Genomic DNA, 24,955 nt, shown 5'->3' on the forward strand with positions numbered 1-24,955 from the left:
CGCCAATGGGCTTTTAATATTTTCCATTCCTGGCTGGGATACAACATTTCACCTCAAAAATGCTTCCTCCCCCTCACCAAAGGGCGTGTCTTTCCAGTGAGAGGAACCGGAAGCTGGATGTGGAGGTTCTGGACCCACCCGTATTCTGGGGCTTGGAGGAGCCACAGTCCAACCCTGGAGAAAGAGGTGGCAGAAATGTCTTCCCAGCCAATGAAGTGAGTTCCCAGGCCTGCCTGAGGCCTCCTGGACCCACAGGAAGCCTGGATCCTCAGTGACAAAGCAAGGGGCCACCTGCTTGCTTCCATCTGAGACTCAGCCCCTGCCCTCCACTTGCCCTCTGACCTTGGCCAAGTGGCTTCACCTCTCTGAGCCCCCATGGCCCATGTGAACAGTGGGGATAATGACAGTATCTAGCTTTCAAGGTCCTTGTGGAGTTCTAATGCTGCACATTCAGGTTATCTGAGGAGCATTAAAAAACACCCATGCCCCACTCAGAGATTCTGATTTAATTGCTCTGGGATAGGGCTTGGATGTTGGCATATTTCAAAAACCCTCCAGGTGATTTTCACTCACAGCCACAGTTGACAATTAGTCTTTGATGGGAAAGCACTTTTTTTTTTTTTTTTTTTTTTTTTTTGGAGATGGAGTCTCACTCTGTTGCCCAGGCTGGAGTACAGTGGCACAATCTTGGCTCCCTACAACTTCCACCTCCCAGGTTCAAGTGATTCTCCTGCCTCAGCCTCCCGAGTAGCTGGGTTTACAGGTATGCACCACCACGCCCAGCTAATTTTTGTATTTTTAGTAAAGACGGGGGTTTCACCATGTTGGCCCAGCTGGTCTCAAACTCCTGACCTCAGGTGATGTGCCCGCCTTGGCCTCCCAAAGAGCTGGGATTACAGGCATGAGCCACTGTGCCCGGCCTGGGAAAGCACTTTCTAAGGTGACCTGTACAGGTGCCAGCTGCTGCTTTGATGATCAAGGGTGTCACACCACTCATTTTCCCAAAAATATGACCCCAGGGATGCCTGAAATCCCACTGAAATGTGGTGGAGGGAAAGCACTTTGAAGGGAAGTAAGGGGTCCTCCAGATGAGTTCTGTGACTTCAGGATTCCCACCTGCACACAAGCAGGTGCCTTAGAGCCACCAGCCCTGTCCCAGGCCAGGACCCGACACACCTACCCTGCTGACCCCTTCTGCTGGGCAGGCTAGGTCCTCTCCAGAGAGCATCTGGGCTTGTAGCTGACCAACAGCCTGCTCTCCCCAACCACTCTCCCCAGATCCTGGAGAGTGGGTTGTGGGGTCATGTAGGGGTGGGTTGCCCCTCCACACCTGTGGGTGTTTCTCGTAAGGTGGAACGAGAGACTTAGGAAAGAAAAAGACACAGAGACAAAGTATAGAGAAAGAAATAAGGGGACCCGGGGAACCAGCGTTCAGCATATGGAGGATCCCGCCAGCCTCTGCGTTCCCTTAGTATTTATTGATCATTCGTGGGTGTTTCTCCGAGAGGGGGATGTGTCAGGGTCACAAGACAATAGTGGGGAGAGGGTCAGCAGACAAACACGTGAACAAAGGTCTTTGCATCATAGACAATGTAAAGGATTAAGTGCTGTGCTTTTAGATATGCATACACATAAACATCTCAATGCTTTACAAAGCAGTATTGCTGCCCGCAGGTCCCACCTCCAGCCCTAAGGCGGTTTTTCCCTATCTCAGTAGATGGAACATACAATTGGGTTTTATACCGAGACATTCCATTGCCCAGGGACGGGCAGGAGACAGATGCCTTCCTCTTGTCTCAACTGCAAGAGGCATTCCTTCCTCTTATACTAATCCTCCTCAGCACAGACCCTTTACGGGTGTCGGGCTGGGGGACGGCCAGGTCTTTCTCTTCCCACGAGGCCATATTTCAGACTATCACATGGGGAGAAACCTTGGACAATACCTGGCTTTCCTAGGCAGAGGTCCCTGCGGCCTTCCGCAGTTTTTGTGTCCCTGGGTACTTGAGATTAGGGAGTGGTGATGACTCTTAAGGAGCATGCTGCCTTCAAGCATCTGTTTAACAAAGCACATCTTGCACCGCCCTTAATCCATTCAACTCTGAGTTGACACAGCAAATGTTTCAGAGAGCACGGGGTTGGGGGTAAGGTTATAGATTAACAGAATCTCAAGGCAGAAGAATTTTTCTTAGTACAGAACAAAATGGAGTCTCCTATGTCTACTTCTTTCTACACAGACACAGTAACAATCTGATCTCTCTTGCTTTTCCCCACAGGGTCAAGGTCACCTTGTTCCCTTTTTATCTCCTTCACTGCACTTGGAGGTAAAGGGCAGCAGTTGCTAAAGAATTTAACATGGGCCGGGCGTGGTGGCTCATGCCTGTAATCCCAGCACTTTGGGAGGCCGAGGTGGGTGGATCACCTGAGATCAGGAGTTCGAGATCAGCCTGGCCAAAATGGTGAAACCCCATCTCTACTAAAAATACAAAAAATTAGCCAGGCATGGTGGTGGGCGCCTGCAATCCTAGCTACTTGGGAGGCTGAGGCAGGAGAATTGCTTGAACCGGGACCTGGGATGTGGAGGTTGCAGTGAGTCGAGATCGCACCACTGCACTCCAGCCTGGGCTACAGAGCGAGACTCCGTCTCAAAAAAAAAAAAAAAAAAAAGGAGTTAAATGTGGAGAGAACCAGTTGTCTGTGCTAGGGGAGGAGAGGGTGTTTGGGTGCTTCGTGGAGAGAGCCAACATCTCCTTTCCTCCTCTTGAGAAGAGAGGATCTGCAAACAATTCTACAGCCCAGAGGGAGGAAAACGGCTGAGAGCCAGGCGCCTTGGGAAAAGGCAGCAGAGAGCCCCACTGGCTGAAGATGCTCAGTCTCTCACCATGACCAGTGTGTCCACCTGCCCCGGTGCCATATCCCAGAGTTACCATGTTCTTACACAGAGGAAAGAACAGCCTCTGTCCAGGGGAGGCACAGCCCCTGTCTCGGGGAGCTTCACCCAAAGGCCAGGCCCCCAGGAGAGGGCCAGAACCCTTGGTGTCCCAGGCCCGAGGTTCTTCAATAAGGTTATTTAACAGATCTGGTGGCTAGAGACTCCCGTGGGAGACTTCAGCCCCATGAGGAAGCGCTGTTTTCCTCAGGCAAACTATGGTTGAGAAACAGGAGCTTTCTGGAGACATTATTCTTCAAAGGGTTTCTCACAGCCCTGTGTCCCAGGCTCCTGGCCAGAGGTGGAAAGGAGAGGGAGTGAGTGATGGGGAGCATGGTGTAGGGCACCACACAGAAGGCAGGAAGGAGAGGAGGGTCAGCAGTGCCACCAGACTGAGCCCCAAATGAGGGGGAGTCCAGGAGAGGAGGCTTGCACAACCCACCACCTTGGGGTAGTTACAGTGCCACCCAGGTTTATTTTTCCAACTGAGGGCACACTGAAAGGAGGGTACATTGAAAAGTATGGGCATAGGGGAACTCAAGTCCCCTGGGCTGGGCTGTGGCCTCTTTAGAAGCACCTACAGCCTCAGCAAGGCCGGGAACAGGGAACTACTGAGGCTGAAAAAAACTTCAGTCTCAATAAGTCTGCCCCCAGTCCCTGGTAACGCTCAGGCTTTGCAGCCAAATGCAGATTAAAGCTGCCTCTACCACATGTAAGCTGCATTCACTGATTCATTCTACAATTAAAAAAATCTTTTTGTTTTTGAGAAAGGGTCTGGCTCTGTCATCCAGGCGGAAGTGCAGTGGTGTGATCATGGTTCACTGCGGCCTCAACCTCCTGGGCCCAAGCAGTCCTCCCACCTTAGCCTCCAGAGTAGCTGGGACCACAAACACACCACCGTGCCTGGCTAATTTTTTATTATTATTATTTTTTGTAGAGACAGGGTCTTGCTACTTCACCTAAGCTGGTCTCAAACTCCTGGGCTCAAGCAATCCCTGGTCTCAGCCTTTCAAAGTGCTGGGATTACAAGCATGAGCCACTGCACCCAGCCCCCTACAAATTTGTTTTGTTTTGTTTTTCTTTTTCCATCATCTTCTTTGTGATAGTAAACAAATATTTTTAGCTTCTGCTATGTGCCAGGCCCTGAGCTAGGTGCTGGGGGTACAGAAAACAACAAAGTAGGCCGGGCGCGGTGGTTCATGCCTGTAATCCCAGCACTTTGGGAGGCCGAGGCGGGCGGATCACCTGAGATTGGGAGTTCAAGACCAACCTGACCAACATGGAGAAATCCCGTCTCTACTAAAAATAGAAAATTAGTCAGGTGTGGTGGTGCATGCCTGTAATCCCAGCTACTCGGGAGGCTGAGGCAGGAGAATCGCTTGAACCCGGGAGGCAGAGGCTGCGGTGAGCCGAGATCTTGCCATTGCACTCCAGCCTGGGCAACAAGAGGAAAACTCTGTCTCAAAAAAAATAAAAAATAAAAGAACAGAGTACCTTTGAGGAACTTACCCCATCGTCGGGGAGATGGAATGGTCACTATAGAACACTAAGGTAAATGTAGGTAGGGACAATAACATGCATGGGTTAGTGTGGAGCACCTGTTCTGGGCCCCCTCTGGAGCATCATTCTGAGGATGGCTCTCAGGGAAGCCTTCCTGGAAGAGGTATAATCATTTGAATTTAAAAAAACGAATGGCAGTGATCACTTCGGTAGCACATATACTAAAACTGGAATGATACAGAGAAGATTAGCATGGCCTCTGCACAAGGATGACATACAAATTTGTGAAGGATTCCATATTTTAATAAGAAAAACAGGCCAGGCATGGTGGCTCACGCCTGTAATCTCAGCACTTTGGGAGGCCAAGGCGGGCGGATCACCTGAGGTTGGGAGTTCTATACCAGCCTGGCCAACATGGCAAAAGCCCATCTCTACTAAAAATACACAAAATTAGCCGGGCATGGTGGCTCGTGCCTATAATCCCAGTTACTCAGGATGCTGAGGCAAGAGAATCACTTGAACTCAGGAGGCAGAAGTTGCAGTGAGCTGAGATCAAACCACTGCACTCCAGTCTGGGTGACAGAGTGAGACTCTGTATCAAAAAAAAAAAAAAAAAAAAAAAAGAAATGGTCCCGGGAGAAACCAGTAGGAAATAGGGGAAGCAGGATAGGGAAGAGGAACAGTACAAAGCAGCTAGATTTTGTTTTTTGGAGCGGAGTCTTGCTCTGTTGCCCAGGCTGGAGTGCAGTGGCATGACCCAGTTCACTGCAGCCTCAAAAATCCCAGGCTCAAGTGATCCTCCCACCTTAGACTCCCAAGTAGCTAATTTAAAAAATAATAAAATATATATATATATATATATCAGTAATTACTAAAAATTAGTAGTAATTATACTACTTTAATAGTGTGCTAACATCTTCCACTGTGTTGTGAATTTACCTATTTTTATTTTACTTTCCTTACCTTTTTTTTGCTTTATATATATTTAAGTTGTGTTATTAGGTGGGTATAAATGTAGGATTGTTCTTTCTGATGATTTGGACCTTTTGTCATTATGAAGTGACCCTTTTATCTCTCATAATGCTTTTGCCTTAAAGTCTATGTGGACTAAAATTAATACAGACATATCAACCTTCTTTGGTTAGTATTTGACAGATTCTTTTCATCCTCTTACTTTCAACCTTTCTGTATTCTTATGTTTTATTTAGATATGCCCTTTTTTTTTTTTTTTTTTTTTTTTTGATGGATGGAGTCTTGCTCTGTCACCTGGGCTGGAGTGCAGTGGTGCGATCTCAGCTCACTGCAACCTCCGCCTCCCAGGGTCAAGTGATTCTCCTGCCTCAGCCTCCGGAGTAACTGGAATTACAGGCACCTGCCATCATGCCTGGCTAGTTTTTACATTTTTGTAGAGATGGGGTTTCACCATGTTGGCCAGGCCAGTCTCGAACTCCTGACATCAGGTGATCTCCCTGCCTCAGCCTCCCAAACTGCTGGGATTACAGGCGTGAGCCACCATGCCCGGCCTAGATATGCCTCTTGTGAACAGCTTATAACTGGGTTCATTTGCTTTGTCTAGTCTAGCAATCTTTGTCTTTTAACTGAGGCATTGAGTCCATTTACATTTATTAATATACTGATATGTGCATGTGTGCGCACACACGTTATTTATTTACGTATATCCTATTGTTTGGTATTTTCCCCACCTTTTCTAAGGTTTCCTTTTCTATTCTTTTTGGCTTTCTTAATTATTCTTTATTTCATTTTTCTCCTTACATAGTTTGCAAATTATACCTTTTTTTTTTTTTTGAGAGTTTCGCTCTGAGTCACCCAGGCTAAAGTGCAGGGTCACGATCTTGGCTCACTGCAACTTCTGCCTCCCCAGTTCAAGAGATTCTTGTGCCTCGCCCTCCAGAGTAGCTGGGACTACAGGCGCACCACCACTCCCAGCTAATACTTGTATTTTTAGTAGAGACGGAGTTTCACCACGTTGGCCAGGCTGGTCTCAAACTCCTGACCTCAAGTGATCTGCCCATCTCGGCCTCCCAAAGTGCTGCAATTACGGGTGTGAGCCGCCATGCTTGGCCTGTGTTTTTAAGCCCATAAGACATTGTTATTAATGTTAATACAACATTTGTTTAGACTTACCCACACATGTACCATTTTCTTTGTTCCATATTCCTTCTTGTCTCTCATTTTTTCCATCTAGGATCACTTTTTATTTCTGCCTGCTGGTGGCAAATACAGTTTTTGTTTGTATCATGTCATTGTTTTTTCTTACTTTTAAGATATCTTTTCACTGATTTTATAATTCTTTTTAAAAATTTTTAGTGCCAATGAATTCTTGCTTATTGTTTGTACCTACAGTTGTGTCCTCCAGCTGCTGTGCCAGTTTAGACTACACCGTCACCTACCTCCTAAAGCACATAGCAAAAGAGGGCAAGGGGGATGGGCATGGTGGCTCAACACTGGTAATCCCAGCACTTTGGGAGTGGTATTTTTCTCTTAAGAATAGGGAAATTAAGATAGGCATTTTTCTTTTCAGTCTGTTGGGAGGTAGTGGTGTTTATATCTAGCTCACACATTCACTGAAGTCCCAATTTTAGGTTTTTTAGACTTCCCACCTTAAAGGAGCCCTGAGTTTCTCTCAGTAGTGTGTATTGGAGTTTGCTCCTATCAGCTCACAAGAACCAAATATTTTTCGTGTCAGTTCTTAGTACCACTGACGGCTTGAAATCTATGGTGGGAACATTTACCTAATGGAAATCAACAAAAACTGAAACACTAAAAAATGTGTGTACAACATTGTGCTTATAGTTAATACTGAACTGTACACAAAACAGTGCTTTGTTTTGTTGGAGAGCCAGTTACTAGCACACCACTGGTTCTCTCTAATCACTCACTCCCATGAGACCATGAAAATTCAAGTTCAAGTTTACTGAGTTAAAAATTACTCACCGGACCAGGCTCAGTGGCTCACACCTATAATCCCTACACTTAGGGAGGCAGAGGCAGAAGGTTAGCTTGAGCCCAAGAGTTCAAGAACTGCCTGGACAACATAGCAAGACCCCATTCTCCACAAAAAGAAAAAACAAATAAATAAATAAAAAATGGGCTGGGTGCAGTGGGTCACACCTGTAATTACAGCACTTTGGAAGGCTGAGGAGGGAGGATCGCGTGAGAACCACAAGTTCAAGACCACCCTAGCCAACATAGTGAGAGCCCCATCTCTACAAAAAACAAAACAAAACAAAACAAACAAAAAAAACAGTTGAGCATGGTGGTGCCACTGCACTCCAGCCTGGGCAACAGAGCAAAACCTTGTCTCAAAAAATAAAAAATTAAAAAGTTTAAAATTTTAAAAAATTAAAATGATGTCGTTTCAGTCACGCAAGATGAATAAGTTCTAGAGAGTTGCTGTACAGTATTGTGCTTATAGTTAATACTGAACTGTACACTTAAAAACCTGTTGACCAGGTGCGGTGGCTCACGCCTGTATTCCCAGCACTTTGGGAGGCCGAGGTGGGCGGATCACCAGGTCAGGAGATTGAGACCATCCTGGCTAACATGGTGAAACCCCGTCTCTACTAAAAATACAAAAAAATTAGCCGGGCGCCTGTAGTCCCAGCTGCTAGGGAGGCTGAGGCAGGAGAATGGTGTCAACCCAGGAGGCGGAGCTTGCAGTGAGCCAAGATCGCGCCACTGCTCTCCAGCCTGGGTGACAGATCGAGACTCCGTCTCAAAAAAAACAAAACCAAAACAAACAAACAAAAACAAAAAATAACTTGTTAAGAGAAGCCGGGCACGGTGGCTCATGCCTGTAATCCCAGTACTTTGGGAGGCCAGGGCAGGCAGATCACTTGAGGCCAGTTCGAGACCAACCTGGCCAACATGGAAAAAACCCATCTCTACTAAAAATACAAAAATTAGTGGGACAGGCTGGCATGCGCCTGTAGTCCCAGCTACTCAGGTGGCTGAGGCACGAGAATCCCTTGAGCCTTGGAGGTGGAGGTTGCAGTGAGCCGGGACTATGCCACTGCACTCCAGCCTGGGTGACAGAGCAAGACTATATCACAAAAATTAAAAAAAAAAAAAAAAATTTAAATTGCAAATAGGTTAGACAATAAAAAATAAAAATAAAATAAAAATGTCCAAAAGGCAAAAGTCAGTTTCGTTGCGCAACTTGCCTTTGAATTCGTGACTTTTTTGGCCTGAGTATTCCTTACTTTCTTGCCAACTCATCAGTGCAGTAAAAAAATTTTTTTTCTTTTATCCATAATTGTTTTCAGAAGTTTATTCAGGGTACTTAGTCCACTTTAGTACCATAAAATATCTTAGTATCTTAACGTAGATATTGAGATAGTTGGACTAGATCAGTAGTTCTTAACATTTTTTGGACACAGACTCGAGAATCTGATAACAGAGCTTGGATAACTTCTCCTCGGGAAAATGCACATACACACAGATAAAATGTATGTTTTTACTCCCCTGAAACTATCCATGGGCCCAAGAATAAGAATGTTGCCCAGGTTGGTCTTGAACTCCTGGCCTTAAGAGATCCTCCCATGTCTGCCTCCAAAGCACTGAGATTACCTGTAGGTGTGAGCCACTGCATCAGGCTCAGAGCTAACTTTTGACAGCCTCTCCATGTTTCCTGTCCTGAGCTGAGAGTTTCCGGGATTCTCTCCTTGGGTGAGCTTGAGTTTCTGAACTGGGGCTTCCAGAATCTCCAAGACCTCTTGGGGGAGAAGCTGAGAGTTGTCAGTTAAACCTTTCACAAAGCTGAAACACACGCAATGTTCATTCAACCAGACCTATCCACATTTATTCATTCGGTGTTTATTGGCTCCTGTTCCAGCTGTCTACTGCTGCATAACATATCATATGTAAACTTAGTGGCTTATATAGTAATAACAATCAATTACATAGTTCTCTCATGATTCTGGGAGTAACTGGGCTCAGCTAGGTAGCTCTTGCTCTGGGTCTCTCATGTGGTTGCAGTCATCCACAAGTGCTGGAATCATCTCAGCCTCTTCAGTACATGTTTGGCAGTTGATGCTGGTTGCAGGTTTGGTTTTCAGTGGGGCTTCTGGCTGTAAAACCTACATGTGGCCTCACTCTCTCTATGTGGCCTGGGTGTCCTCACAGCATGGCAGGTGGGTCCTGAAAGGGAGCATCCAAAAAGAGATTTAAAAAAATTTAAAAAGGGGCCGGGCACAGTGGCTCACGCCTGTAATCCCAGCACTTTGGGAGGCTGAGGCGGGTGGATCATGAGGTCAGGAGATCAAGACCATCCTGGCTAATATGGTGAAACCCCGTCTCTACTAAAAATACAAAAAAAAGGGGTGGGGGAGAGGGATAGCATTAAGAGATATACTTCATGTAAATGACCAGTTAATGGGTGCAGCACACCAACATGGCACATGTATACATATGTAACAAAACTGCACGTTGTGCAAACGTACCCTAGAACTTAAAGTATATTTAAAAAAAAAAATTAGCCGGGCGTAGTGGTGGGCGCCTGTAGTCCCAGCTACTTGGGAGGCTGAGGCAGGAGAATGGCATGAACCTGGGAGGCGGAGCTTGCAGTGAGCCGAGATCGCGCCACTGCACTTCAGCCTGGGCGACAGAAAGAGACTCCGTCCCCCCCAAAAAAAATTAATAAAAAATAAAATAAAATAAAAATTAAAAGAGAATGAGTCAGGAGGAAGCCACATTACCTTTTAGAACCTAGCCACGGATGTCACACAGCATTTCTGTCACATTCTGTTAATTAGATACAAGTCATTAGACCAGCCCATATTTAAAGGAAGGTCAATTAGATTCTACCTCTTGATGGAAAGGATGTCAAAAAATTTGCCGGCCAGGCATGGTGGCTCATATCTGTAATCCCAGCACTTTGGGAGGATGAGGTGGGCAGTTTGTTTGAGCCCAGGGTTCAACACCAGCCCAGGCAATATGGTAAAACCCTATCTCTACAAAAAAAAAAAAAAAAAAAATTAGCCGGGCATGGTGGTACATGCCTGTAGTCCCAGCTACTCAGGAGGCTGAGGTGGGAGGATCGCCTGAGCCTGGAGTCGAGGGGGCAGTGAGCTGTTTAATCGCTCAACTTACCTTTGATTCATAATGGCGTCACTATACTCCAGCCTGGGCGACAGAGTGAGACCCTGTCTTAAAAAAAAAAAAAAATTGCAGATATGGTTTTTTTTTTTTTTTTTTTGAGACTGAGTCTCTCTCTGTTGCCCAGGCTGGAGTGCAGTGGCACGATCTCACTGCAACCTCCGCCTCTCAGGTTCAAGCGATTCTTCTGCCTCAGCCTCCCAAGTAGCTGGGATTACAGGCATGTGCCACCATGCCCAGCTATTTTTTTGTATTTTTAGTAGAGACAGGGTTTCATCATGTTGGCCAAGCTGGTCTCAAACTCCTGACCTCAGGTGATTCACCCACCTCGGCCACCCAAAGTGCTGGGATTACAGGCGTGAGCCACTGTGCCCAGCCCTGCAGACATGTTTTAAACCCACCACATCTCCTTTCTGTTTGTCAAGCACTGGACAAGGCACTTAGAATAGAACGGTGAATACTACAAACCCTGTGGTGCTTACAGTCTAGTGGTAGAGCCAAACATTAATAAAATAACATTACAAATATGTACACAATTATGAACTTTGATGGTCCTATGGAAGATGATTCCAGGGAGCCATGAGAATTTATATGACACATTTTTATGACCTGGACCAGGGAACCAAGAGAGAATTCTCTGCAGAAGAGACATTTGGATTGAGATCTGGAACACCATTGGATGCTAACTCAATGAAGTGGGTTGAACAAGAGCCTTCCAGGCTGAGGGGATACCAGGCCAAGGCCCTAGAGTAGGAGAAACAGCAGCCTGAGAGGCAGCTAGTATGTCTTGAGACAGCTAGCAGGGACAGGAAGTATGAAACAAGACCGCAGTGGTGGGCTAGGGCCAGGCCCCTGGGCACTGTAGGCTGGGTAATGGTATTGGACTTCCGCATAAAAGTTGTGGGAAGCTGGCTGGGCACGGTGGCTTATGCCTGTAATCCCAGCACTCTGAGAGGCCGAGGTGGGCGGATCACGAGGTCAAGAGATCGAGACCATCCTGGCCAACATGGTGAAACCCCATCTCTACTAAAAATACAAAAAATTAGCTGGATGTGGTGGCGGGCACCTGTAGTCCCAGCTACTCGGGAGGCTGAGGCAGGAGAATCACTTGAACCCTGGAGGCAGAGGTTGCAGTGAGCCGAGATTGCACCACTGCACTCTAGCCTGGGCGACAGAGCAAGACTCTGTCTCAAAAAAAAAAAAAAAGAAAAAAAAAAGAAAAAAGGTGTGGAAAGCTGTTGAAGGGTCACATACTGGAGAGTGATATGAACACATTTACAACTTAAAGATCACTTTGGCTGCTGTGTAGATGGCCCCAGCCAGACGCTGAGTCAGGCCTGGGAGGGCTGGGAACCTCCTATCTGCAGTTCCTCCCCTCCCCATGAGACTCTCCCACACAGGCTGAAGCCAGCTGCAGCCTTGGCCCTATACCTCCTTGCCTGAGATTTCAGGCTGAGCACCCTACACTTAACCTACTCAGTCCCTCCTCCCAGACACAGGAAGTCCTGCCATTTTGCATCACTCGGTGAGTCACCCCTTATTTGTCAGTCAGTGGGTGTAATGGATTAAGAGGTGGTCCCAAAAGATGTGTCTACATCCTAATTCCCAGAACCTGTGAATGTAACCAAATTTGGAAAAAAGGGTCTTCATGGATGTAATTAATTAAGGATTTTGAGAAGAGGAGGACATCCTGGATTATCTGGGTGGACCCTAAATTCTATGTGTCCTTAGGGTCTTATAAGGAGTGAGGCACAGGGAGATTTGATTAGAACAGAAGAGGAGGAAGTAGTGTGACCACAGAGAGGGAGATTGGAGTGATGTGGCTATAAGTCAAGGAAGGCCAACAGCTGCCAGAGCTGGAAGAGTCAAAGAACAACATCTCCCCTAGAGCCTCCAGAGGGAGTACAGCCCTGCCAACACCTTGATTTTGGCCCAGTGGTCTGATCTTGAACTTCTGGCCTCCAGAACTGTAAGAGAATAAATCTCTGGTTGTTCTAAGCTGCCCAGTCTGTGGTAATTTGTTACAGCAGCCACAGGAAATTAATGCAGTTGGGTACTTCTCAAGCTGCTCCTTCCTGATGAGCTGTACAGGCTCCCTCTCCTTCAGGAGACCTCTAAATGTTGGGGTGCCCCGGGCTCAGTTCTCATACTACTTTTTTCTCTATTCTCTGTCCCTACATGATCTCATCCATTCACTTGGCTTTAAAATACCATTCATTTATTGGCTGGACGCAGTGGCTCACGCCTGTAATCCCAGCACTTTGGGAGGCCGAGGCAGGTGGATCACCTGAGGTCCGGAGTTTGAGACCAGCCTGGCCAACATGGTGAAACCCTGCCTCTACTAAAAATACAAAAAATTTATCAGGGCATGGTGGGGCCTGTAATCCCAGCTACTTGGGAGACTGAGGCAGGAGAATTGCTTGAACCCGGGAGGCAGAGTTTGCAGTGAGCTGAGATCATGCCACTGCGCTCTAGCCTGGGCAACAAGAGCAAAAACTCTGCCTCAAAAGAAAAAAAAACATTTATTTGCTAATATCCTCAAATTTTATCTCCATCCAGACCCTTCTCCTGGAGCCCAGGCATCCCCAGAGGTAGATGAAAAGAGAACTCTTGTTCCACGCTCACCACCACATCTGTCCCTGGCCCAGGCTGCCCCAGTCACTCCATGCTCCAGTTGGAAATGTGATAGCTATCCTGGATTTCTCCATTTCCCTCATGCAGTTTATCCAAACTGCTAGCAAGTCTTGTCTTGTTGTTTAGGTCTTATAATCTCTCTCAAATCTGTCCATTCCACTCCGCACTGCCATCACTGCAGCCGCAGCATCTCTCACTCAGGTGACTGTGCCAGCTGCCTGATGACTCCCATGTCGACTCTCATCCCCCTCCATCCCTTCTTACAGCAGCCAGGGTGATTTTTTAAGAAACAAATTAGATCAGGTTGCAGTTTTTTGAATACCTTTATTGAGGTATAGTTGACATGCAATTAATTGCACACTTCAAGCTTACAATTTGCTAAGTTTTGACATATACCCATGAAAGCATCAGTATAATAAAGATAACAACCATATCTATGTGCAGTGGCTCACACCTGTAATCCAAGCAACTCAGGAGGCAGAGGCAGGAGCACTGCTTAAGGCCATGAGTTTGAGACCAGCCTAGGCAACATAGTGAGACCCTATTTCTACAAAAAATAAAAACCAATTAGCCAGGTATGATGGCATGTGCCTGTAGTCCCAGCTACTTGGGAGGCTGAGGCAGGAGGATTCTCTGAGCCTGGGAGTTTGAGGCTGCAGTGAACTGTGATTGCACTACTGCACAGCAGCCTGGGTGACAGAGTGGGATCCCGACTCAAAGAAAAAAAGGAAGGCTGGGTGCGGTGGCTCATGCCTGTAATCCTAGCACTTTGGAAGGCTGAGGTGGGCGGATCACGAGGTCAAGAGATCGAGACCATCCTGGCCAACATGGTGAAACTGCGGTCTCTACTAAAAATACAAAAATTAGCCGGGTGTGGTGGTGTGCGCCTGTAGTCCCAGCTACTCAAGAGGCTGAGGCAGGAGATTCACTTGGACCTGGGAGGCAGAAGTTGCAGTGAGCTGAGATCCCACCACTGCACGCTAGCCTGGCAACAGAGCAAGACTTTGCCTAAAAAAAAAAAAAAAAAAAAAAAAAAAAAGAGAGAAAAGAAAAAAAAAAGAAAAGAAAGAAAAAATGAAAAAGAACTATACCTATGACCTCCAAAAGTTTTCTCGTGCTCCTTTGAAATCCAACTTCCCTTCCCCACCTCCCATTCCTAGGCAATGACTGATATGCTTTCTGCCATTACCAACTAGTTTACATCTTCTGAATTTTATGTGATAGAAAATAGTATGTAATTTTTTCTTTTTTTTTTTTTTTGAGGCAGAGTCTTGCTCTGTCGCCCAGGCTGGAGTGTAGTGGCGCGATCTCCCCTCACTGCAAGCTCCGCCTCCCAGGTTCACGCCATTCTCCTGCCTCAGCCTCCCGAGTAGCTGGGACTACAGGCACCTTCCACCACGCCTGGCTAATTTTTTGTATTTTTAGTAGAGACAGGGTTTCACTGCGTTAACTAGGATGGTCTCGATCTCCTGACTTCATGATCCGCTCACCTCGGCCTCCCAAAGTTTTCGGATTACAGGCGTGAGCCACCGCGTCTGACCTTTTTTTTTTTTTTTTTTTAAATACAGGGTCTCACTCCGTCACCCAGGCTGGCGTGCAATGGCGCGATCACGGCTCACTGCAACTGCAGCCTTGACCTCCTGGGCTCAAGCAATCCTCCCACATCTGCCTCCCAAGTAGCTGGGACTACAGGCATGAACCACGACATGCTCGGCTAATGTTTTTTTTCTTTTCTTTTTTTTGTTTTGAGACAGAGTCTCGCTCTGTCGCCCAGGCTGGAGAGCAGTGGCTCGGCTCACTGCAAGCTCCACCTCCCGGGTTCACGCCATTCTGCTGCCTCAGCCTCTCAAGTAGCTTGGCGCCCGCCACCACGCCTGGCTAGTGTGTGTGTGTGTGGTGGGGGGGGCTAGTGTGTGTGTGTGTGTGTGTGTGTGTGTGTGTGTGTGTGTTGGGATTACAGGCGTGAGCCACAACGCCCGGCCAATTTTTTTGTAGAATGGGGTTTCACCATGTTGCCCAGGCTGGTCTCAAACTCCTGAACTCAATCAATCGCCCACCTCAGCCTCTGAAAGTGCTGAAAGTACAGGCGCAAGCTGCTGTGCCTGGCCTATATACTCTTTTTTATATGGCTTAATAATTTTGAAATTCATCCATGTTCATTGTATCAGTATTTTTTTTATTGCTGAGTAATAAGTATTCCATTGTATGAATATACCACAATTTTTTACCCATTCACTTGATGATGAACATTTGGGCTGTCCAGTTTTTAGCTATTATATGCAAGGCTGCTGTAACCATTCATGTATAGGTCTTTGTATGAGCTTCTGCTGTCGTTTTTCTTGGGTAAATACCTAGGAGAGAAGTGACTGGATCATGTGGTAGGTGTATGTTTAACTTTTTGAGAAATTGCAAAACTGTTTCTATTTTTATTGTTTTGAGACAGAGTCTCACTCTGTTGCCTAGGCTGGAGTGCAGTGGTGCAATCTCGGCTCACTGCAACTTCCGCCTCCTGTGTTCAAGCAATTCTCGTGCCTCAGCCTCCCAAGTAGCTGGGACTGCAGGTGCACACCACCAAACCTGGATAATTTTTTGTATTTTTTTAGTAGAGGTGGGGTTTTGCCATGTTGGCCAGGCTGGTCTTGAACTCCTGACCTCAAGTGATCTGCCCCCCTCAGCCTCCCAAAGTATTGGGATTACAGGTATGAGCCATCATGCCTGTCCAAACTTTTTTTTTTTTTTTTGAGATGGAGTCTCACTCTGTTGCCTAGGCTGAAGTGCAGTGGTGGCATGATCTCAGCTCACTGCAACCTCTGCCTTCCAGGTTCAAGTGATTCTTCTGCCTCAGCCTCCCAAGTAGCTGGGGTTACAGGCGTGTGCCACCACACCCAGCTAATTTTTGTGTTTTTAGTAGAGACGGGGTTTCACCATGTTGGCCAGGCTGGTCTCGAACTCCTGACCTCAGGTGATCCGCCCACCTTGGCCTCCCAAAGTGCTGGGATTACAAGCATGAACCACCATGCCCGGCCAGTTTTCTAAAGTGCTTATACATTCCTACCGCTAGTGTGGAACTGGTTATAGTTGTTTCACATCCTTGCCAACACTTCATATGGTCAGTCTTTTAATTTTCGCTTTTTTAGTGGGTGTGCAGTGGTATTTCACTATGTTTTAGTTTACATTTCTTATAACCAAAGAGGATCCTTTCATGTGCTTATTTGCAATTTGTGTATCTTCTTCAGCAAAGTGTCCGTTGAAAATTTTTGTTCATTTTTTTACATTAGTTTTTTATATTGAGTGTATATATTTTTATGTATTCTAGATACAAATCATTTATTCTTCATATATTCTAAGTATATAAGGAAGTTTTTAAAAAATATATTCTAGATACAAGTCCTTTGTTGGATATATGTTTTGCAAATATTTTCTCCCACCGACAGTTGTCTTTTCGTTTTTCTAGTGGTATCATTAGAGAGCAAAAGTTTTAAATTTTAATGAAGTTTATAAACCTTTTCACTGATTATTAGTGTTTTGCCCAACCTAAGGTTATAAAGATTTTCCCCTACGTCTTCTTCTAGAAGTTGTATAGTTTTTGCTCTTGTAATTAGATTTGTGGCCCACTTGGATTAATTTTTGTGTATGGTGTGAAGTAAGGATAGAGGTTCATTTTGTTTGCCATGAGATATCCAGTTGTTCTAGCACCATTTGTTGAAAATACTATCTTTTCCCCAAAGGTACTTTGTCACCTTCATAAAAAATCAATTGATAATATGTGTATATCTCTATTTCTGGATGGCCTTTTCTTTTTCAGTGATCTATATGTTTATCTTTACATCAATACCACACTGTCTTGATTATTGTAGCTCTGTCTGTAGTCTTGAAATCAGGTAGGGCCAGTAATCTAATTGCATAATACTTTAAAAAATTGTTATGGCTATTCAAGGTCCTTTGCATTTCCACATACATTTAGAATCAGCTTGTTTACTACAAAAAAAAAAAGATTGCTGCAATTTTGACAGGAATTATTTTGAATCTATATGCCAATTTCAGAAAATTGTAATCTTGAAAACATCAGGTCTTCTGATCCATGAACACAGTATCTCTCACCACTTATTTATATCTTCTTTAATTGCTTGCACATCTTTTGTCAGATTTATCCCTGTTTTGGAGTTCTGATGGTATTATAGATTGTTTTTATAATGTCAATTTCCAAGTGTTTTTTGCTTATATAGAGAAACACAATTAGTTTTCATATATTAATCTTGTATCCTGCAACTTTGCTAACCTCAGTTATTCATTTTATTTATTTATTTATTTATTTTTTGAGATGGAGTCCTGCTCGGCTGGCCAGGCTGGAGTGCAGTGGCATGATCTTGGCTCACTGCAACCTCTGCCTCCCAGGTTCAAGCGATTCTCCTGCCTCAGCCTCCTGAGTAGCTGGGATTACAGGTGCCTGCCACCACTCCTGGCTAATTTTTGTATTTTTAGTAGAGACAGGGTTTCACCATGCTGGCCAGGCTGGTCTCGAACTCCTGACCTCAGGTGATCCGCCCACCTCAGCCTCCCAAAGTGCTGGAATTACAGGCGTGAGCCACTGCGCCTGGTCCCTCATTTACTCATTTTAGGTTTCCTAGATTACTTAAGATTTTCCATATATATGTCATTTATAAATAAAGACAGTTTTACTTTTTTCTTTCCAAACTATATGGTTTATATTTTTCTTCCTATATTGCATTGACTAGGACCCCCAGTATAATCTTGAATAGAAGTGGTAAGAACAGATATTTCTTGCCTCATTCTCAATCTTAGAGTGAAAGCATTCAATCTTTAACCATGAAGTATGATTTTGTTGTTGTTTTTAGAGAGTAGGTCTGGCTCTGTTGCCCAGGCTGGAGTGCAGTGGCGCAATCTCAGCTCTGCAACCTCCGCCTCCCCAGGCTCAAGTGGTCCTCCTGCCTCAGCCTCCCAAGTAGCTGGGACTACAGGTATGCACCACCATACCTGGCTAATTTTTGTCTTTTTTGTAGGGACAAGGTTTCACCATGTTGCCCAGGCTGGCCTTGAAATCCTGAGCTCAAGTGATCCACCCTCCTTGACCTCCCAAAGTGCTGGGATTACAGGCGTGAGTGGCCATGCCTTCTTGGAATATCTCTGTCTGGTTTTGGTATCAGGGTAAGGCTGGCCTCATAGAATAAGTTGGGAAGTATTCCCTCCTTTTCAATATTCTGGAAGATTTTATATCAAGTTGGTATTATTTCTTCCTTAAATGTTTAGTAGAGTTCACTAGTGAAGGCATCTGGGCCTGGAGGGTTTCATTTTATTTTTTTTTGTGGGAAGGTTTTTAACTATTATATAAATTCCATTACATATTTATTCTTGAATATGTGTCACACTTTTGTGTAAACCCTCAGGGCCTTCCCCTCACTCCTCCCTAAGTCCTTATTGTGACTCCCAAGGCCCTGTCTCCTGTCTGGTAGGCTCCTGCCCTCCTCTGCAGCCCTTCCACATGCTGCCTTCCCCTTAGGCAAGAACCCCCAAGAAGCTTCTTGCCCACCTCTCTGCTTAAGGGTCTTACTGCCTTCCCCTCACCATGTTCCAGTAATATGGGTCTTCTGGCTATCCCAAGAGTATGCCAAGCTCTTCCCCACCTCAAGCCCTTGGCATTGCCTTTCTCCATCTGGTAAGATCTTCCACAGGCTCTTTGCATGGTCGTTTCTCATTCTCAATCTCCAGGTCTCAGATAATGTGTCAGGAAGGTCTTCCCTGACTTTTGTTATATCCAGGGGATGGCCTGCTGGATACTATCTCCCACATAATCTCATTTACTTCCTTCATATAATATATAATATACAGATCACACTCCATCATTGTTTACTTACTATATTAGTCTGTTCTCATGCTGCTAATAAAGACATACCCAAGACTGGGTAATTTATAAAGGAAAGAGGTTTAATGGACTCACAGTTCCGCATGGCTTGGAGGCCTCACAATCATGGCGGAAGATGAAGGAAGAGCAAAGTCACATCTTACATGGCAGCAGGCAAGAGAGTGTGTGCAAGAGAACTCCCCTTTATAAAACCATCAGATCTCGTGAGACTTATTCACTGTCATGAGAGCAGCACGGGAAAGACCCGCCCCCATGACTCAATGATCTCCCACCGGGTCCCTCCCACAACACATGGGAATTATGGGAATTACAATTCAAGATGAGATTTAGGTGGGGACACAGCCAAGCCATATGGCTTACTTTCAGTGCCTTAAGAGCAAGGATCTTGTCTGTCTTGTTTATGGCTGTATCCCCTGCAGCCAGCACAAGATCTGGCACAAACTAAGTGTTCAATGACTATTTGTTGAATATGTAGACTAACAGGATGGCCTATTGGTTAATCAGGCTGTACATCACAGAAGTAGTGAGTCTCCTGTGAGCCTGTTGGTTGGTCTGAGGATTTGGTCAGCCTGGAGTAGGTCAGGCAGCTGTTGAGTGGGCCACTTACTCTGTGGGGTTGGTCTGTATGACTGACAAGCCAACTGCAAAGCCAGGCCAGGATGCTGGGGGGATACAAGAAGGAAAAGGCCCAGGCCTACCCCTAAGAAGATTCTTGCCCATCTCTATTTAGAGTCTTACTGCTCCCCATTCCCTGGCCAGGAGGTGACACAGGGATGGCCTGGGGGAGTGGGGAGGCTATAGAGCCTGTCCCAAACTGGCAGCTGCTCCTCAGTAATTCTGCTGCAGGGCTTTCAAATCCCATGAACCTCACCTCGTGGCTGCAAGGCTCAGGAAGAGCCTGTGGGGGAGGCACAGAGAGGGCTTTGTGGCTTCCTCGCCACCCCACCTCCTAACCTCCCCTGACCTGGGCTCTCTGCTCATGGAAAGTCCCCCTCTGGACCTGGCTGCCTAGCCCCAGGAGACAGGCGGTAGGACACGTTGCCACTATCTGCTCTCTGCAGGGGCAGAACATGAGCCTGTACCTCTAGGGGCCACTCCTTACAACTGAAGTTGTGCCCTTCATAGACCAGGGGAAGCCCAGCTCTCTGGCTGAGGGAAGAGGCTTTGGATAGAAGCTGGATATGGGACAGTTAATCCCAGATCTCGCCAGGAACACCGCTGCTGTGGGGTCATGGATGTGGCTAGAGTCCCATGGAGTATGTGTAGGAGGGTGTCAGAGCTGCTTGTATGGAAGCAGCTGTTTGCAATAACTAGGCCACAGCACCCAGGCCGCCAGCAATCACCGAGCTTCCATCCTGCTCACTGACAAACTCCATGACCAGGAGGCCCCACTCATGGTGACATCATCCCCTTGCACGCTGCTGAGGGAAATGAGCTCAGGACAGCCATCAGAGGCGGCCTGTTTACTTACAGGGACCCTGGCCGTCAGCAGCTATTTGACCAGACATTCCCTGTCCTGGCCAGCATGAAGCAGAAATTTCCTTAAACACATTACTTTGGCCACAACCCATTGCCTGCTCTCTTGCTTTCAATTTTTTTCAAGAGGAAAATTCCTAGTTCTGGCCCCAAGCAGAGCAGCCAGATATGGTGAGGGGCCGTCACAATGACTCCCAGAGGGCCTTTTGCAGTTTAAGTTACTCCCATCTCCAGGGTAACTCTTAGAGCTGAGAGAACATCAAACCAATTATCTGTGACCCATGTTGGGGATGGCCATTGGGGTGGCCAGCATGACCTCCAGGCAGACCCTCTCCCTGCTTCTCTCAGGGCCTCGGCCACCCTGAGCTCACTTCCAGAGAATTTCCCAACTCAGCAACCCTGGCTGCACCCTAAACCCCTCCCTCAGTCCCTCCAGGTCAGGGATATTTTGGGAGAGCATAAGAGCTGCCAGCTTTAACAGGCTCTAGGGGATTCCCGAGATAGTCACCCCCAGCAACCCTGGCTGAGAGGCACTATCTCCGGACCGCCCCCAACTCTCCTTGTACCTGCTGGAACTCAGCCATTCCAGAGGCCTTGAGGGCACAGGGGTCATGGAGGTCTCCTTGGTCTCTCAGGTGCTCTATGATTCTCAGCCACCTGAGCCAGGAGCAGAGCGATGCGCTCCCAGCAATATCAATCATGGGAGGCAGACGCCCTCCGCCTGTCTGGATGTGCCCATACTGGGGCTGGTCAGGCAGGCACAGACATGTCAGGGAGCTTGAAGACTTACCTGACCCAGCTCTGCCCTGTGGCCTGATCCTATTTAGCTCAACATCCTGCCTCACTGGGTAGGGGCTCAGGGGCAGAATCAGGTCAGAAGAGGGTGTTGAACCTGTCTTTCATAGTACTTATCTGTACACAAGACTGAGAAGATGTCAAGGATCCACATCAGAGAATGGGGTGAAGGGAGTGGCTCACACAGATCTCAGTTGGCAACTTCTTAGAAGGTACCGAAGAAAGGGCCAGATTTTCTCCCCCACTGTCCCCACCCCCAACCACCATAGGGCCAGAATTCCCTAAACATGTGGTTTACATGAATTCAATTTGTCAACGTGTCTACTGAACCCAACATTTGTAAGATATGAAAGCTGGAAAGTCTGTAGATAAGAACAGAAGCTAATATTTATTGAACATCTACTATGTGCCTGGCATCATGCTCAACAATTTTTTTTTTCCCAAGACAGGGTCTCGCTCTGTTGCCCAGGCTGGAGTGCAGTGGTGTGATCATAGCTCACTGCAGCCTCGACCTCCTGGGCTCAAGCAGTCTTCCAGCCTTAGCCTCCTGAGTAGCCAGGACTATCGGCACAGGTCATCAAGCTGGGCTAATTTTTTAAAAATTTGTTGTAGAGACAGGGGTCTGGCTATGTTGCCCAGGCTGGTCTCGAACTCCTGACCTCAAGTGATGCTCCTGACTTGGCCTCCCGAAATGCTGGGATTACAGGCATGAACCGCCACACCTGGCCCATGCTCAACACTTTACACACATTATTTTATTTAATCCTCACAACAATCCTGATGAGGTTAAATAACTCCAAAGGACACAAAATCCATATGGCAGAGCTGGGATTCAAACTGAGTTCTGTCTGAACCCAGAGCTTCTAAAATTAGGCATCTTCCAATTTGACCTCTAAAAAGTAATTAATTAACCCAGGAATCAATCACCCTCCTTCTGTAAACCACACAAGGCCTATACAATTAATGATGAGGTGATCTAACCCTTTCATTCTACAGATGAGAGGCCAGATCACAGTGAGTCTAAGCTGAGCACAGGACTAGTATCTTGGACTCTTAGGTCACTGCCCTCTCACCACCCCAGCCTGTCTACCCAGGCAAGGGAATGGATGGCTGGAGAGCTGTGAGTTCTACCCTCTAGGAAAAACACATATGAACATTCACACAGACAGACACACAGAGACATGTATACACAGGCGATAACACACACAGGCACTTAGACCAATGGATTGTTCTTTTTTTTTTTTTTTTTTTTTTTTGAGACGGAGTCTTGCTTTGTTGCCTAGGCTGGAGTGCAGTGGCGCAATCTCGGCTCACTGCAACCTCCACTTCCCGGGTTCATGCCATTTTCCTGTCTCAGCCTCCTGAGTAGCTGGGACTACAGGCGTCCGCCACCACGCCCGGCTAATTTTCTGTATTTTTAGTAGAGGTGGGGTTTCACCGTGTTAGCCAGGATGGTCTCGATCTCCTGACCTTGTGATCCGCCCGCCTCGGCCTCCCAAAGTGCTGGGATTACAGGCGTGAGCCACCGCTCCCGGCCGGATTGTTCTTACCTCTCTACTTTCCACAGTTCCTTTCCATGAGGCCCTTGTCCTGGGCCCACCCTTTAGATGGCCACACTCTGGCTTTACTCTGGCCACAGACACCTCTTCAGATTCCCAGTGCCTAGTGTGGGGACAATCACAGAACAAGTACTTTAAAAATGTCCAAGTAAATTAGTAAATCATAAATCAAGAATGAGTGAATGAATGCTTCTGCACAAATAGGCATATGTGCTTTCAGAGGCTCACTGACATATTATTTACACCAAAATAACCTCATGAGTACCCCCACAAACACACGTAGGCAGGTGGTAGACCAATTCAACTATGCAAGCAGTAGAGGCCCACACTTTCCCTCAAAGATACTCACATACATGGGCTTATACAGATGTGAATACTTACATACAGGGAAACACACAAGTACATACTTTCTACCGAGGAACAGCTGCAACCAGCAATGCAGCTGCCTACACACACAAACCCAGAAGTCACACAAACCCACCCTGATCTGCTCAGCTAGACAAAGGCAAAGCTGCAGGCCCAAAACAGACTGGGAGTGAGACATTTGTCCATAGACTCCTGGACTGCCCCTGGATCCCACACTGTCTGCCTCCTTCCCCCTCCTGTCTGCGGCCAGAGGGGGTTCCTAGAATTCCTTTTGCAGACTGGCTGAAAAAGCCGGCTCTTCCTCCTCCCCCACAGACCCAGGCCAGAGTCCTAGGTTAGGGAAGCAGATGTTATACGTTGTGGGGAGCTATGCCTTCCCAAGGACTCTGCCCTTGGTCCCCAGTTGCCTCCCAAAGCCTGACTAAGGCCAGGCTGGACGCTGGATGGTGGCAGAGCACACTCAGGTTCCACTGCCCCAGCTCTATTGCCAACTAGATGATTTAGGAGCATCTAGTGAATAGCGCTTTTCCAGAAGCCTTGCTTCCTTAGGAAACCGCTCAGCCACCAGCCTGATCTTCAAAACAGGCCTAGGGGACGAAAACACTCCTGCTTCTCTGCAAAAACATGGGCAGCTCCTCTTGCTCAGAGCCCCTAGCGTCATCCAAACCACAGCATCTCAAGGCTGTGGGAATTAAAGGCCAGTGTTCTAGTCCTGCTTCTGTCTCAACTCTGTGGACTGTGTCCACTTTTGTAAAATGAGCCATTTGAGTGTGACGACTTCAGATCTAGCTGGAATGGTGTGGGAATCTAATTCCCCAGGCAGCCCCTGGGCGGGGGTGAAGGGGCTCCCACCCCAGGGACAGTGGCCCAGTGGGGGCCTCCTCTTAAGTGACAGTCATATTACAAACACAGGACTTGTGCCTGGAGTGGCTTGAGGCTGAGGTGCCCAGTGCTGGGGCAAAATGGGGACTCAGGAGAAATGTCTCGTTCAACCTGGAGACAGACAGCTACCTTCCTTCTCCCTTGTACCCACTCACCAGATCCTCCAGGCCTCTGCTGGAGGTGGACGAAGGGCTGCAGCCCCACCCAGCCAGGCAGGACTGGAGACAGGAATGCTGCTGAGCCCAGCTGGCCAGAAAGGGGTGACTGTTTGTTCTCTGATGTGAGGAACATCTCAGGCAATCAGGGGGATTTGGCTGCCAGCAGCCCCTGGATGCAAGGTCTCAAAAATTTCAACTTAATCAGAGCAGGCTGATAGCTTGAGCAGGCAGTGGGGGTGGAAGGGAGGGGCCATCCCCTTCCTGCCCCACATTCAGTGCCATGTGTGCCTCTGGGCTCACCTCCTGGGTCTGCAATGATGGGGCTGGGAAGGTTACAGGAGATGAGCTCAGAGCTCTGATTGAGTGGGTGTTGGGGGACTTCCCATGGTTTCCACTTCTGACATTGCAGGTGCCTTCTGCTCATAAAACAGAGCAGAGCTCACAACCCCAGTCTGGAAAGGGAACTCGTTTTCTATTCACTGGGCCTGGTGTCGGCACTCTTGTCTTCCTATGCCACCAGCCTAGGTCTTCTTTGCTCAGACAGCCCCTCTAGCTGCAGCCTTGCACCTGCTTGCCTTTTTTTTTTTTTTTTTTTTTTTTTTTTGAGACAGAGTCTCTCTCTGTTATCCAGGCTGGAGTGCAATGGTGCGACCTCAGCTCA

At 47.0% G+C, this 24,955-nt stretch overlaps 1 protein-coding gene and 1 pseudogene across 13 annotated transcripts in view, besides 2 other annotated features; one reads left to right on the top strand and one right to left on the bottom strand.

Annotated features, from left to right (window-relative positions):
* RNU6-686P (RNA, U6 small nuclear 686, pseudogene) lies at positions 4,624-4,730 on the top strand (annotated as a pseudogene).
* The window catches only part of PARP16 (poly(ADP-ribose) polymerase family member 16), a 55,967-nt gene continuing 36,691 nt past the window's right edge, over positions 5,680-24,955 (bottom strand). For 4 of the 13 annotated variants that reach the window (XM_047432777.1, XM_047432778.1, XM_006720590.4 and 1 more), the window contains one exon: positions 9,227-9,586. In XM_047432777.1, the coding sequence (XP_047288733.1) occupies positions 9,566-9,586 (21 nt within the window). In that variant the 3' untranslated portion in view covers positions 9,227-9,565. Of the gene's footprint in view, positions 6,655-9,226; positions 9,587-21,698; positions 22,992-24,955 lie in introns of those variants that run through there. The other 9 variants (XR_429460.4, XR_429459.4, XM_024449969.2 and 6 more) reach the window with 7 other exon arrangements.
* Positions 14,531-15,031: an enhancer, noted in NCBI's record as "H3K4me1 hESC enhancer chr15:65532106-65532606 (GRCh37/hg19 assembly coordinates)". NCBI's record gives its function as "activates a minimal SCP1, AML or CMV promoter by ChIP-STARR-seq in primed H9 embryonic stem cells {active_cell/tissue: H9 hESC(primed)}" and the evidence as "EXISTENCE:reporter gene assay evidence [ECO:0000049][PMID:30033119]".
* Positions 15,032-15,532: an enhancer, noted in NCBI's record as "H3K4me1 hESC enhancer chr15:65532607-65533107 (GRCh37/hg19 assembly coordinates)". NCBI's record gives its function as "activates a minimal SCP1, AML or CMV promoter by ChIP-STARR-seq in primed H9 embryonic stem cells {active_cell/tissue: H9 hESC(primed)}" and the evidence as "EXISTENCE:reporter gene assay evidence [ECO:0000049][PMID:30033119]".

The sequence above is a fragment of the Homo sapiens genome, chromosome 15 (genome assembly GCF_000001405.40).
Source record: "Homo sapiens chromosome 15, GRCh38.p14 Primary Assembly".
NCBI classification, from domain to species: Eukaryota; Metazoa; Chordata; class Mammalia; order Primates; family Hominidae; genus Homo; species Homo sapiens.